General features: G+C 43.8%; 1 protein-coding gene across 13 annotated transcripts in view; it reads left to right on the forward strand.

Moving 5' to 3' along the window:
* TG (thyroglobulin) overlaps positions 1–13,583 on the forward strand; it is a 267,942-nt gene that overhangs the window by 99,179 nt on the left and 155,180 nt on the right. For all 13 annotated transcript variants that reach the window (NM_003235.5, XM_017013794.2, XM_006716622.4 and 10 more), the window contains 5 exons: positions 424–561; positions 1,658–1,834; positions 3,322–3,433; positions 5,658–5,737; positions 6,462–6,605. In NM_003235.5, the coding sequence (NP_003226.4) occupies positions 424–561; positions 1,658–1,834; positions 3,322–3,433; positions 5,658–5,737; positions 6,462–6,605 (651 nt within the window). The remainder of the gene's footprint in view (positions 1–423; positions 562–1,657; positions 1,835–3,321; positions 3,434–5,657; positions 5,738–6,461; positions 6,606–13,583) is intronic.

Here is a 13,583-nt window from a genome sequence, read left to right on the forward strand (position 1 = left end):
ACTTGACTATACAACTTCCTAATGATGGAGTGGGCTGCTGTGGTTAGCACAATGATGTCATGTGGAGCTATAGAGGCATTAGACAGAAGTCTCCAGGGGAAAACTTCTGCATTAGGTGAAAAGGTGGACCAGATAACTTCCAAGGCTTTATCCAAACCCAGAGTCTAAGATTTTGCCATCCCATAATTTTTAGGACTTCCTGGGGCCTTCTGAACTATTCCTGTCTGACCCAACTCCCAGCTCTACTGACTTCAATCCTGCTCTGGTTTCACACAGCATAAAAATGTCTCTGTCTCTATCTCTGACACTTTCTCTCTCTGTCTCTCTCTCTGTGTGTGTGTGTGTGTGTGTTTCTTTCTTGTGTTTTTCTCATATTCACTAGAGTTAAAGGTGCAGGAAGTTGACTCCCTGCTTCTTTTTCAGGTTTGACAACAGAACTTTTCTCCCCTGTGGACCTCAACCAGGTCATTGTCAATGGAAATCAATCACTATCCAGCCAGAAGCACTGGCTTTTCAAGCACCTGTTTTCAGCCCAGCAGGCAAACCTATGGTGCCTTTCTCGTAAGTATCCTTAGAACTCATTCTTCTTCTTCCAGACACTGTAGTCAGGCATCACAGGCCAAGTCTGGCAACTCCTGAGACACAGATAAGGCCAAATTTTGTGTCATAACTCATGGATCACTGTGGATGATATAAAAGAAAGATAGCACATAACCCATATCTTCAAGAAGGTTACAGTGTAGTTAATCTCTACTCTGCTTCCATAACCTATCTTCATCCACCTGTCTCTCCATCTATCCGTCCATTCACCCATCCATCCATCCATCCATCTACCCATCCATCCCATTCATCCATCCATCTACCCATTTATCCATCCCATCCATCCTTCCATCCCATCCACCCATCCATCCATCCATCCATCCATCCATCCCATTCATCCGTCCATCTTTGCATCCCATCCATCCATCCATTCGATCCATCCATCCATCCATCCATCCATCCATCCATCCATCCATCCACCCATCCAACCATCCATCCATCCATGTATCCATGTATCCATCCCATCCAACCATCCATCCATCCATCCATCCATCCATCCATCCATCCATCCATCTATCCATCCATCCATTTGGCAGTTATTAAGTATGCATTATGTTCAAAGCTTTGTGTTTGATTTTGGAGAAGAAAGAGAACACCCAAAATGAATCAAATCAACCATGTTCCTTGCCCTTGGGGAGCTCATATATACCAGGGGCACAGGCTGACTTGGGCACAGGTGCAGGGAGACCATTCACAAAGTTCACAGTTTTTACAGTCCTGTGACCTCTGGTCTGCAGATCCTGACTTCCTCTGAGATGGCCATGGGTAGATCCAATGCAATGTTACTCTTTTGCCTCTTGTATTGCTGAGTTTGAGGTTTGTCCCTTATGCCTTCAACTCTGCCTTTATTCAGGAGCACACGGCCCCCTCCCCAGCTAGCAGAACCCCAGCGTTTTTGCATGGGCCTTCCAGACTGGATGATCATGACAGTCTCAGGCCTCTGCCCTAACTAGGAGGGATCTCTACCAGGCATTTCCCCACCCAGAGAATCCTGTAGAGATTATTCTCCCCTGTAGACCCCACAAAAACTAAAATCACACTACTCTCTTGCCTGTAGGTTGTGTGCAGGAGCACTCTTTCTGTCAGCTCGCAGAGATAACAGAGAGTGCATCCTTGTACTTCACCTGCACCCTCTACCCAGAGGCACAGGTGTGTGATGACATCATGGAGTCCAATGCCCAGGGCTGCAGACTGATCCTGCCTCAGATGCCAAAGGCCCTGTTCCGGAAGAAAGGTGAGCACTTGGAGAGATCTGCATAAACTGTATTTCCAATGTTCTGCTGGCTCTGTGGTTTTAGAAAGATCCACATTAGTTTCTTATTTAAAAAACATTTTCTTTATACTTTTATTGGTTTCAAGAAGATGGGAACATGGATCCAAACTTTCACGGTTAGAATCAATAAACTACTACGTAATTGTCTCAGTTTAAACAAAAAATATGAAAAAGGGTTATTTGGGGGCAGTATTTCAATGCAGAAGTGGGCTTTAAAAAAATAAAACCCAAAATGTTTATTCACACTTAAAACTAATTTATTCTTCTTTTAAAAGTAAAGTTATTCATGTTCCTTGTAGAGATGTGAAGCCATTTAGAACTGCATCAATTTGACAATAGAAAATAATCCTCTCCTAAGACAGCCACCTTTAATACATGCATCAGAATCCCATTTGGCTGTATATTACAAGGAATGTCAGCAACAGTGACTTTAACAAGATAGAAGGTGATTTTCTCTCCCAGGCCATTAATGATGCCATATTTTTGGAGATTTTTTTTAACCCCATACAGTCTGTTTTCTCCAGATGTTGTCACCTTTCATTTACTGTTCTATCTTCTCTGTTGGATGTCTTTCTCAGATGTCCAGTGACCCTTATTTTTCCACTCGAATGTCAAAGGGGTCCACAAGCTGACTGGGCAGCCCCAAATGTGTGGTGGGAACTTGTTGACTCTAGGTTTCTTTGAGGGATAATCCTGTTGGGTTGCCCTTTGGGGAATTCCTCATGCCAGTATTTTTAGGTTCCTCCTTCAGAGGAGTTTCTCAACACCTGGCCTTGGGGCACGAACCTGGCTCCTGGTGGTTTGGGCACCAAATAAATCTGGAAAATGTCGGGGGGACACCTCAATATTCATTATGCAGGCTGACTTGAAAGAATCTCCTACTTTCTGTGAAGTGCTCATGCCATGGTTTGTATCTGATGCACCCAAGAGATCCTCTCTTCTGTCGTCCTGAGAGAACGAACCTTCTATCTTCTTCCGTGGTGGGGAGAGGGCTGTTGTCAGCTGCGGAGAGGAGAGGAGAGCATCTAGAGGCCAAATAGCTTCTTAAAGAAATTCCAGCCAGTACTTCTGTTTGGGCCACCTTCACCCCCAGGGCTGCCATACTTAAACCTTGTGGGATTCCAGAGGGCAGATGGCGTTGCTTCTTTGTTCTTTCCACAGAAAAGTTGAGTAGTTTTCTTGGTCTGTTAGGCCTATTTTTATTTCTCCATATGCTTTCTAGCTTCCAACATTTTGTTGCTGTGTCTCCACTTTTTTAAAAAAAATCTTTGTCCCTGTGGACTTGCCATCATTTTAGTGAGATTTGAGTTAGGAAATGAGGTTTAATATGAATTTAATATGTCATCTTTAATTGGAAACTTTCAGTCTGTATTTTACTCATTTGTCCTCATATTTTCATGACTACAGCAAATCTCTAAGTAATGTATTTTCTTTCTTCCTCTATGAAGTTATACTGGAAGATAAAGTGAAGAACTTTTACACTCGCCTGCCGTTCCAAAAACTGATGGGGATATCCATTAGAAATAAAGTGCCCATGTCTGAAAAATCTATTTCTAATGGGTAAGCTACTTGTGTCTCACCCCTAATGTTTATTATGAATAATACTTCCTCAAAGAAGATGACACAATCACAGCTAAAAACAGAAGCATACCCAGCACTTTGGGAGGCCGAGCTGGGCTGATCACGAGGTCAAGAGATCAAGACTATCCTGACCAACATGGTGAAGCCCCGTCTCTACTAAAAATACAAAAATTAGCTGGGCATGGTGGCGGCACATGCTAGTAGTCCCAGTTACTCAGGAGGCTGAGGCAGAAGAATTGCTTGAACTCAGGAGGTGGAGGTTGCAGTGAGCTGAGATTGCGCCACTGCACTCCAGCCTAGCAACAGAGCGAGACTCTGTCAAAAAAAAAAAAAAAAAAAAAAAGCACAAAAAACTATAAAATCCAAAGCTAAGGGGGTAAAAGATAATAAGGAGGTAACCATATCTGAAAACCTCAGCTAAGGTAAGTTACTGATAGTAAACACAACATTTAGCCTTGAACTACTCGCTGGATGATGAAAGAGCCACCGAGCATTATTTAATATAAATTATCAAGTATGGTACTAAATTTGATTGTCAAAACCTCACATTGCAGTGCTCAGAATCTGGAGAGCAAGTGGAAATTTTAACAGACTCATATACATATAAATAATTTTTATTTTTTATTTTTAAAATTTATTTTATGATTGATTTATTTGCTTAGTCATTATTTAGTTGTTTTAATTGAAGATGATGTCTCTCCTAGTATTGTCTGTGGATCTTACCCATTAGAATCACCCGGAGAGCTGAATGTGAATTCTAATGGGTGAGATCCACAGATCTGTATTCTTGGGTCCTATTTATAAACTGCATCCTTGGGTCCTATTTCAAACCTGCTGAATCAGCATTTCCTGGGATGGAGTTCAAGAATCTGACCTTTAAGGAAGCTTCCCCTGGTGATTCTTTTATACTTAAAAATTCAAGTGTCATCCATTCATGAACCATTGATCTATGAAGTGCTCTTGAGTTATGACTGAATCATGTTGCTGGTGCTTAAGATCTACTTTTGAAAATGGGGGTAAAAAGATGAGGCAGGCTAGTCTGTCTTGAGATTCAGCTGGACACCACTGTGCTGATGGGAGTGGTGGATGAAAAGGAGGGTTGGAACCAGGGATCAGCCTGACCGCGGAGCTGTGATGGGAACTAGGGGAGTAGATTGTGCGTCTGGACTCAGGAAAATGTAGTTGGCTGGGAAAATCCATGGTCCAGACTGGATCTTAGAAATGAGCTTCCAAGATAGGAAAAGGAAGCAGTAAGTGGACAGGTTAGCAGAGAACTAGGAGATGGAAAAGCAGAGAGGTGACTTGCAGGCATCAGGGCACAGATGCTGCCAACATTGGAGATGCTGCCCAGCAGGTAAAAGCATCACCGCTGGGATGTGGCTTGGGTTCAGGGAAGGAGAATGGCAATACGAGGCAGGATCCCCTCACCAAGAAGGGGCTAAGTGTTTGAGAAAGCTCTCAGGAGTCACGAATGAGTGGTCAGACTGGAGCAGAGTGGTCGGGGCAGGGGAAACTTGGAATTGACCCCAGAAACATTGGTTTGGAGCCATTAAGTCCCTCCTGCCATGAATAGCCCTAGAAGCTGAGGGTGGGGCTTAGTTATTGAGTGGATAAGAAGGTCAGTCTTGAGAGAGCCTGGCTGGGTGGGCTGACCCAGTAAACCGAAATGCATTGGTAGAGAGTGATTATCCACGTTGTACACTGAGTAAGAGGGGAAGTGAAGGGGAGCACAGGCTCGGCTCTGGCTGCTTACACAGGCCCTTGGCTGGGTCACCCTGACTGTAAGCCTATGGACTCTCCTCTTTCTAGAAATGCCTTCCCTGTTATTTCTTTATTTTCCCAGTGTCCAAAGCTGAGACCTTCTGCTTACCTGAAAGGATTGAAAGAGTACATTCTGGATCCTGGGTTAGCTTGGTTGGAGCCTGGCACATAATAGGCACAGAATATATGCATGATGAATGAATGGGTGAATAAATGATTAATGGCAGGACAGTATTCCTGAGAGGAGTAGAATTTTGTTTTCAGAAAGAACCTCAAAGCTAAGAATCCACTCATGCATATTGACCAAAGCACCCCCAGTTTAAGTAGGGGGTAAAAAAATAAGCTAGTTCCCCAAAGCAAGAATGACTACCATCAGCCCACCCAGTAGGTCCTGGGTCACCAGTGAAAACCTTCAGGCCTGCTCTTTCTCTTCCTATGCCAGGTTCTTTGAATGTGAACGACGGTGCGATGCGGACCCATGCTGCACTGGCTTTGGATTTCTAAATGTTTCCCAGTTAAAAGGTAATAATGGTAACAACTTCCTCTCCCCTGCGCACAGTACTCTGCAGTTTAGAAAACACATTCACATCTATGCTTTTACAAATCCTCAGCATCTCCTATCCTCGTTCACAGATAAGGAAATGGGGGCTTGGAGAGGGCAACTGGCTAATAAATGTGGTAGCTGAGACATGGCTCCTAGTCCAGTGATCATCACTTTACATGTGCAGTTCTACCTGGCCAAACTTCCTTCCTTCTACTCTTGGCTTGGATATCTTTTGTTCATCTTTCAACACTTAGGCCAAGCAGCTTGGCGAACTTTGGATCCATTTGCATGATGTGTACTTAATGCTTGGTTGATTCCCTTACTAGTGTGTGATTCTGGAAAAGTCACTTAATCTCCCTGAGCCTCTGTTTCCTCCTCATCTGTATATAGGGCTACCAAAGCTACCTTCCTCGTAAGGTTATGTGAGGACCAAGTGAAGTGATACCAACAGAGACCTAGCACAGCCCTAAGCACATGTTAGGTGCTTGATAAGTAGCTCTATCCCTTTGCTCTTAGATCAGAGGCTCCTTGAGTTCAGGTACCAGGTTTTTCAGCAGTGGCTGAGATAGTATCTGAAATATAGTGGTGTATCCCAAATGTCTGCTGAACAATGTACTTGCAGAATTTTTCTCATTTATTAGACTCTTCCATTGTACTCAGTTTCCTGATTGTGGTTTTTTGTTTTTTTTTTTTCCACCCCAGGAGGAGAGGTGACATGTCTCACTCTGAACAGCTTGGGAATTCAGATGTGCAGTGAGGAGAATGGAGGAGCCTGGCGCATTTTGGACTGTGGCTCTCCTGACATTGAAGTCCACACCTATCCCTTCGGATGGTACCAGAAGCCCAGTAAGTACCCTTCTCATGACAGCTATATGGACGTCTTTAGTTAACTATTTCCCAGCCATGCATTAGGACAATATTCTTGGATTGGTGAGTAGATTAATGAAGACTCATTGGGTTCAAGCAACAGAAATAGATTCTGTTTAACTTAAGCAGACAAGAAACTTATTGAAAGTTTGCTCATTGACTCAAAGGAAGGATGAGCAACTAGGTCTCAGTAAAGACGGAAATGGACCATTTCCATGGATGTATGTAACAAGAACAAATAGGCAACTTCTTCAGTGTGCCATGATCATCATTAATCTGCTCCATAGGGTTTAGTGGTTATATTCAACCTTTAAATTCAAGGAGGAGAGTTTGGTCCCACCTGGGCTTAGTCAGCACGCTGCCAGAGGGAGAGTGGGACAGCTTGACGGTCCTAACAAGATGGTATGCACTAGGATAGGGGGTGTTCCTCAAACAGTAGTGAAGGCACTGTTGCTGGACAGGCAAAATCAATAGATATAGACTCTGGCACATTTCCTTGGTTTTCTTACCTTGACAATCAAGACAATGTACCACATGGTAGTCCCATGGAGGAAAACGGGGACAACCAATGTGTATTTGACAATGCATATAGAGTTAGGACTTCAGGGCCAAGGCAGCATTGACCCAACATGGGTCCTTAAAGTATGATTCTGATTATATCTATGTGGCACGTTTTAGGAGCTCAATTTGAAATTGATGAAGGAATGAATGGCATTTACAGTGTGGCATAAGAGCTCCTGGACTCAGATAAGGAGACATTAGGTTTGTTCCAACTCTGCCATCTACTTACTATGGGTTTGTCTTTCGGAAAGTCACACCACTTCCTCAGTTTTTCCATTGGTGAAAACAGCGAATGAGACTCACTATGATTCTGTCACCGCTTACATCACATGTGTTTATGGTATGGATAGATTTGGGGAATAGTGGGCAGCCACATGGAAACTAGACATCTTCATCCTGTGTCCCAGAAGCAAATTCACAAAGATGTCCCAGATCCAAAAAGATGGAACACCCTGTGTTCAACTAGGAGGAGTCAAATTAGAGAGAGGCTGAGCAGAGGTTTAGTATTTCCAACTTCTCCCACTAGTGGCTTCCTTATTAGTTTCAGAGTAAATATATGGGGAATTCTGGCTCTTACTTAGCACTTGCCCTAGAAAATAGAGCCATGGACTGTCTGATCTGGAAATGTGGAAGGGGTCTTCGAGATCCCTACATTTGACCATTCCTTTTTTTTTTTTTTTTTTTTTTGAGGCGGAGTTTTGCTCTTGTCACCCGGGCTGGAGTGCAATGGCGCGATCTCAGCTCACTGCAACCTCCACCTCCTGGGTTCAAGCAATTCTCCTGCCTCAGCCTCCCAAGTAGCTGGGATTACAGGCCCCCACCACCATGCCCAGCTAATTTTTGTATTTTCAGTAGAGATGGGATTTCACCATGTTAGCCAGGGTGGCCTTGAACTCCTGACCTCAGGTGATCCACCCGCCTCGGCCTCCCAAAGTGCTGGGATTACAGGCGTGAGCCACCGCACCCAGCCACATTCTTTATTTCACCCAATATAACCCTTTGTCCAAAGTAGGCAAAGAGAGAAGAAATTACATTCTTCACGTCCCTGCCGTTTCAGACCATGATGGATTTACGTGGGTTATACCATTTAATACTCATAATACTCCTGCAGAGTAGGTATTGTTTTTTCCATTTTAAGGTGAGAAGACTGCAGCGTAGAAAGTTGAATTGCTTGACCCAAACCACACGGCTGGTAGGAAACAGAGGCAGGCTTCAGGCCCAGACCTGATGACCCCAAACTTATTCTCCTTCCCTTTACGATGTTGCCTCCTGGCAGGTCTTTCACATCCCAAAAATGACTAGACAGGAAAATGTCTAGATACCTTTCCTGACTGACCTTCCCCCAACTCAATTGATTAACAAGAAATTGACTAACAGATTAAAAAGAATAAATACTGATAAACTAACAAATCAAACCAGTTGGTGGTTTGGTGCCTTGTTCCATAGCCATATCCAACATGAAAGATCCAGATGCAGCTCCCAGGCAGTATCTGGTGCTCGGCCCTTGCTCATGAGCCTACCCATTCCCTGTGTGTGCCTCAACTTCATGGAAGATGTTTCTGGAGTTAATTATTACCAGTTTGAATGGAATCTTCCTGCTGGTGTCCACCTTCAGCATCCTGTGATTTGATCTGAATTGACTCTATTGGCTTTTTATTTTATTTTAACATCTGAAATTATTTTAAGAAAAACATCAGGATTGTATAATGAAATATCCTCAGTGGGTTTCTATTAAAGGAATAATGTTCCATATATAACAGTTTCCCTGCTTTAACTCATAGAGGAAGGGAGAAAATACCTGCCCAGGTCTTTGACCCCAAAGGAGACCCAGTGCCAGCACTAGGTATTTGGGAGACTTCAGAACTGAGCTCTCACCTCTCACTTCCCCCTTGCCCCATCTGTCCTCTTACCTCCTTACCTCACCAAAGTCTTAAAAATGTCATTTTCCATCTTCATATTACTCATGGAAGAATCGGGTAAAAAGAAGCTTAAGAAGTAATTCATTTGTTCAGAAGTAATGAGAATCAGACCAGAGTGTTACAACATCTTGACAGGAGTTGGCAGGGGAAGGAATCAAGGTACTCATTGTCCCAACTCATTCCATCTGTTCTTTTTCTTTTCATCTGACTGCATAGATCATTAACTTTTTCCAGCATATATTCTGTGGGGTCAGTCTGGGGACTCGACTCAGGAGTTTTGACCAGAAACTTAGAGCAGGGAATTAAACATTCACAGAGGGGTTCTTATTCAACCAACATTGACTGAGCGTTAATCATACCTGGGGGTCCTCTGGCATTACCAATATAACCTCTATGTATTGGGCTCATACTGTGTGCCTGGCTGGATTCCAAACACTTTGCATGCACTATCTCACTTAATTTTCACACCCATGTATCATGAGGAAGTAGAGGCTCAGAGAGGTTGTCACTTACTCAAGGTCACCAGAAAGTAAATCAGAGTTAGAATCTGGACACAAGTCTTTCTGACCCTAAATCACTATGTTGTGTGATTGAAGGTGAAAAAGCCATGATTTCTGTTTTGCAGTCACTCACAGTCTAAGAAGGAGTTAAAGATTATAAATAAATACAACATTCTTGTGCTGGGTCTCTCTTACTATAAGTTTTTCAACTTTACTGAGTGTCTGTTTTCAGTTATATACTGTACTGGGCACTGTGGAAAGTGAGATTAATAAGATATATTCATTTTCCTTAGACACAGTGTAGTGAGGAAAATATGAGGAAATATGATTAAATATAGCAGAAGAAATGAAATACTAGAACACTTATCAGTAAAGTGTCACGGAAACATGGGAGAAAGAAATTGTGCTTGGGAGGTGTCTTAGTCCGTTTTGTGCTGCTATAACAGAATACCACAGACTAGGTAATTTATAATAAACAGAAATGTATTGGCTCTCAGTTCTGGAGACTGGAGAGTCAAATATCAAGGAGCCAGCATCTGTCAAAGGCCTTCTTGCTGCATCATTCCATGGGGAAAGGTAGAAGAGCAAAGAAAAGAAAGGGGACCAAACTTGCCATTTTATAATGGCATTAGTCCCACCCATGAGGGCTCTGCCTCATAAAGGTTTCACCTCTCATTACTGTTGCAATGGCAATTTAATTTCAACATGAGTTTTGGAGGGGACAAACGATGAAACCATAGAGGAGGTGTGGAAGCCTGTTGCTGGAAGGTTCCTATGGGCCCTCTTTTTGGCCTAAGGCCCAGCTCCTGCAATCTCCTCTCCCCAAGCAGGTGGTCTTTCACACTGTGCACTGCCTGCTTGCAGTGTCTGGGTGCCTGGGGAGAGAAAGAAAAAGTGCTACAATGTCATCAGACTCTCATTCTTCCATCCATGGCCCCTGAACAGAAAACACCATGGGATGCACATGGCTTATGGGCATTCTGGTGTGAGTGGCTCCGTGGTTCTCATTTCAGAACAGAAGGAGGAGGACTGGCTGTCACAAGGTTGTGTTGACATGGTGTGATTTGACTCTCCAGCAGAGCAGGACAGGGTTCTTTCTCCCTTAAGTTGTCTTCATCAAACAGAAGTGGGTGGTGGGATAAGTCTTAAGACTTTGTGGATTATTTCCTCCTAAGACCTAGTTTGAGAAGGGTAACCTTACTTAAGGAGACTGGTTTAATAAATTACAGTATTCTCACAGGTGGGCCATGTGGACCAGTAAGAAACCATCTTTTGATTTATGATATAGTTTGAGCCAAAACACACTTATTAGCTGAGTTCTGAACATTAGTACATTGGATTCTATTTTCTCTAGTAAACAAAACCACACCAGTATACTGATGTAAAATCCCAGCACTGAAGCTGACATTGTCATTACTTTTCTCCCCACTCTTAGCTTTGTATTAGGTAATTGCATACATAATAGTAGGAAGTAGCCTCTATGGGACTAGGAAAGTCTGCCTAGAGACAGGAATCTCTGGGCCTGAGCCTTGCAGGATGGATAGGATCCTCTCCTTCACCTCTCTGTCAGCACTGGCACATGAGACAAACATTTTTACCAAGGATTTGATGAATATTTTCAATAATAGATTTTGGCCTTGCTTCAAGTCCATGGTTTGGTCATTTAGTATAGTGACATCTATACTGAGTGATGACTATGAGCCCATTAACACTATGTATTAGTCCATTTTCATGCTGCTGATAAAGACATACTGATAAAGACTGGTTAATTTACAAAAGAAAGAGGTTTAACTGGACTTACGGTTCCACATGACTGAGGAAGCCTCACAATCGTGACGGAAGGCAAGCAGAAGCAAGTCACATCTTACATGAATGGCAGCAGGCGAAGAGAGAAATTGTGCAGGGAAACTCCCATTTTTAAAACCATCAGATCTTGTGAGACCCATTCGCTATCACGAGAATAGCACGGGAAAGACCCACTCCCATGATTCAATCATCTCCCACCAGGTCCCTCCCACAACACATGGGAATCATGGGAGCTACAAGATGAGATTTGGGTGGGGACACAGAGCCAAACCATATCACACTAGGTCCCCTGTTTCTGAGGAATTGCCACTAGGATCAATTAGGAATTGAGATTTATTGAGTTCCTACTATATGCCAAACACCTTGGAAGCACAGAGGGTAGAAGTCCCTGCCCACAAAGGGTTGACAGTCTGGCTAAGGAGACAGATGTTAAAGAAAACAAACCTTTCTTAAGCATTACTGTATGTCAGACTGTGTTCATCCATTTTGCATTGCTATAAAGGAGTATCCAAGACTGGGTAATTTATAAAGAAAAGAGGTTGATTTGGCTCATGGTTCTGCAGGCTGTGCAAGCATGGCACCAGCATCTGCCCAGCTTCTGGAGAAGCCTCAGGAAGCTTTTACTCATGGCACAAGGTGCAGGGGAAGCAGACCTGTCACATGATGACAGTGAGAGAAAGAGAGAGGGAACAAGAGAGGAGGTGCCAGTCTCTTTTAAACACTACTTCTTGTGTGAACTCATAGAGCGAGAATTCACTCATTACTGCGAGGACAGTACCAAGCCATTCATGATGGATCCATCCCCATGACCCAAACACCTCCCACCAGGATCACCTCCAACACTGGAGGTCACATTTCAACATGAGATTTGGAGGGGACACACCTCCAAACCATGTCACAGACACTACTCTAAAGGCATTCCTTGTATCAACTCACACCCCTCTGGGAGGAGGGTGCTGTTCTCCTCCCCAGCCTCAGAGAATTACACCGTGATGTGGCTTGTATTACTGTAGTGGAATCCCAGGGGAGAGGTAGGGTGTTGGGGGTGCTTCTTCAGAGCATGAGAGAGGAACAGGAAATTCTGTTCTGCAAGGGATTATACAAAAGTGACTCTGGGGGAAAGCTGGATATAGAGAAAGGGAAGTGGGGTGAAGGAGCAGTGGCCACTGACTAGCCATAGGCAGTAGGTAGAGAGGAGGTAGCATGTCCCTGCCCTTACAGATCTCACAGCCTCAGAGGCAGAGACCTGCACACATGGACAATTGAAACATAACCTTCTTAGAGGGCTGTGGTCACAGATCAAAGGATGGAGCAGAGTCTCCTAGCATTCAGAAAGAGAAAAGCACAGACCTAGTGCAGCAGAGCACCAAAAGGAGAGTCCAAAGAGCCTGCAGCCATGGGCCTTCTGATTCTGCTATGAGCAGAGTTCAGAAGTGAGCAGAAAGTTCCATGCATCTTAGCATAGAATTGCAGAGTCTCAGGCTAAGCAATGTGAATGCAAATGAGACTGTTTGCAGCCCCTTCCTGGCAGTAGAGCCAGAGAGGAACTGTTCTAAGCCTCCAGAGGACAAGGGTATAAGTGCTGAGGGGAGGAGGGGGTGGTGCGTGGAATAAGGGGCTGCTCTGTGGTTAAGCAGTACCCCAGAGCCCAGGGCTTCCTGGAAGGGGTGGGCCTCTGTGGCATTGGTACTCTCTGTTCTTTGAAGAGAACTAGGGCTGCCCATCTTATCTGCAGCTGTGCATTGTCTGCAAGTGGGGCAAGATCTGTTTACAAAGTCAAATGTGACTTCTAGAAAAGAGAGTTGAAGCCTCACAGTTCCTGTCTTCTGCTAAGCAAATGTTTTTGGACCCTCTTGCAATTCTAGATGTAAGAATCTGGAAAGGAAATGACAAGCTCTTCTAATTATGTGTCTCTGCAACCCACATAGAAACTTCCATATGTAGGTAGCAATTTACTGTAGAATCTATTCTTTATCATCATTCACATCCTATGAACAGCTTCTTAACCTTTTACTAAGCATAAAGTCTGCTGCTGGCACTAGGCTAGCATTTGGCATGCAGTATCTCATTTAATTCCCTAACAATCTCATGAGGTAGGGCCTACTGTTACCCCATGCAGTGCTGTGCTGGCAAATATGTTACAACTGATGAAGTGGGAGTAAGAGCTATTT

Source organism: Homo sapiens, chromosome 8, assembly GCF_000001405.40.
Source record: "Homo sapiens chromosome 8, GRCh38.p14 Primary Assembly".
NCBI classification, from domain to species: domain Eukaryota; kingdom Metazoa; phylum Chordata; class Mammalia; order Primates; family Hominidae; genus Homo; species Homo sapiens.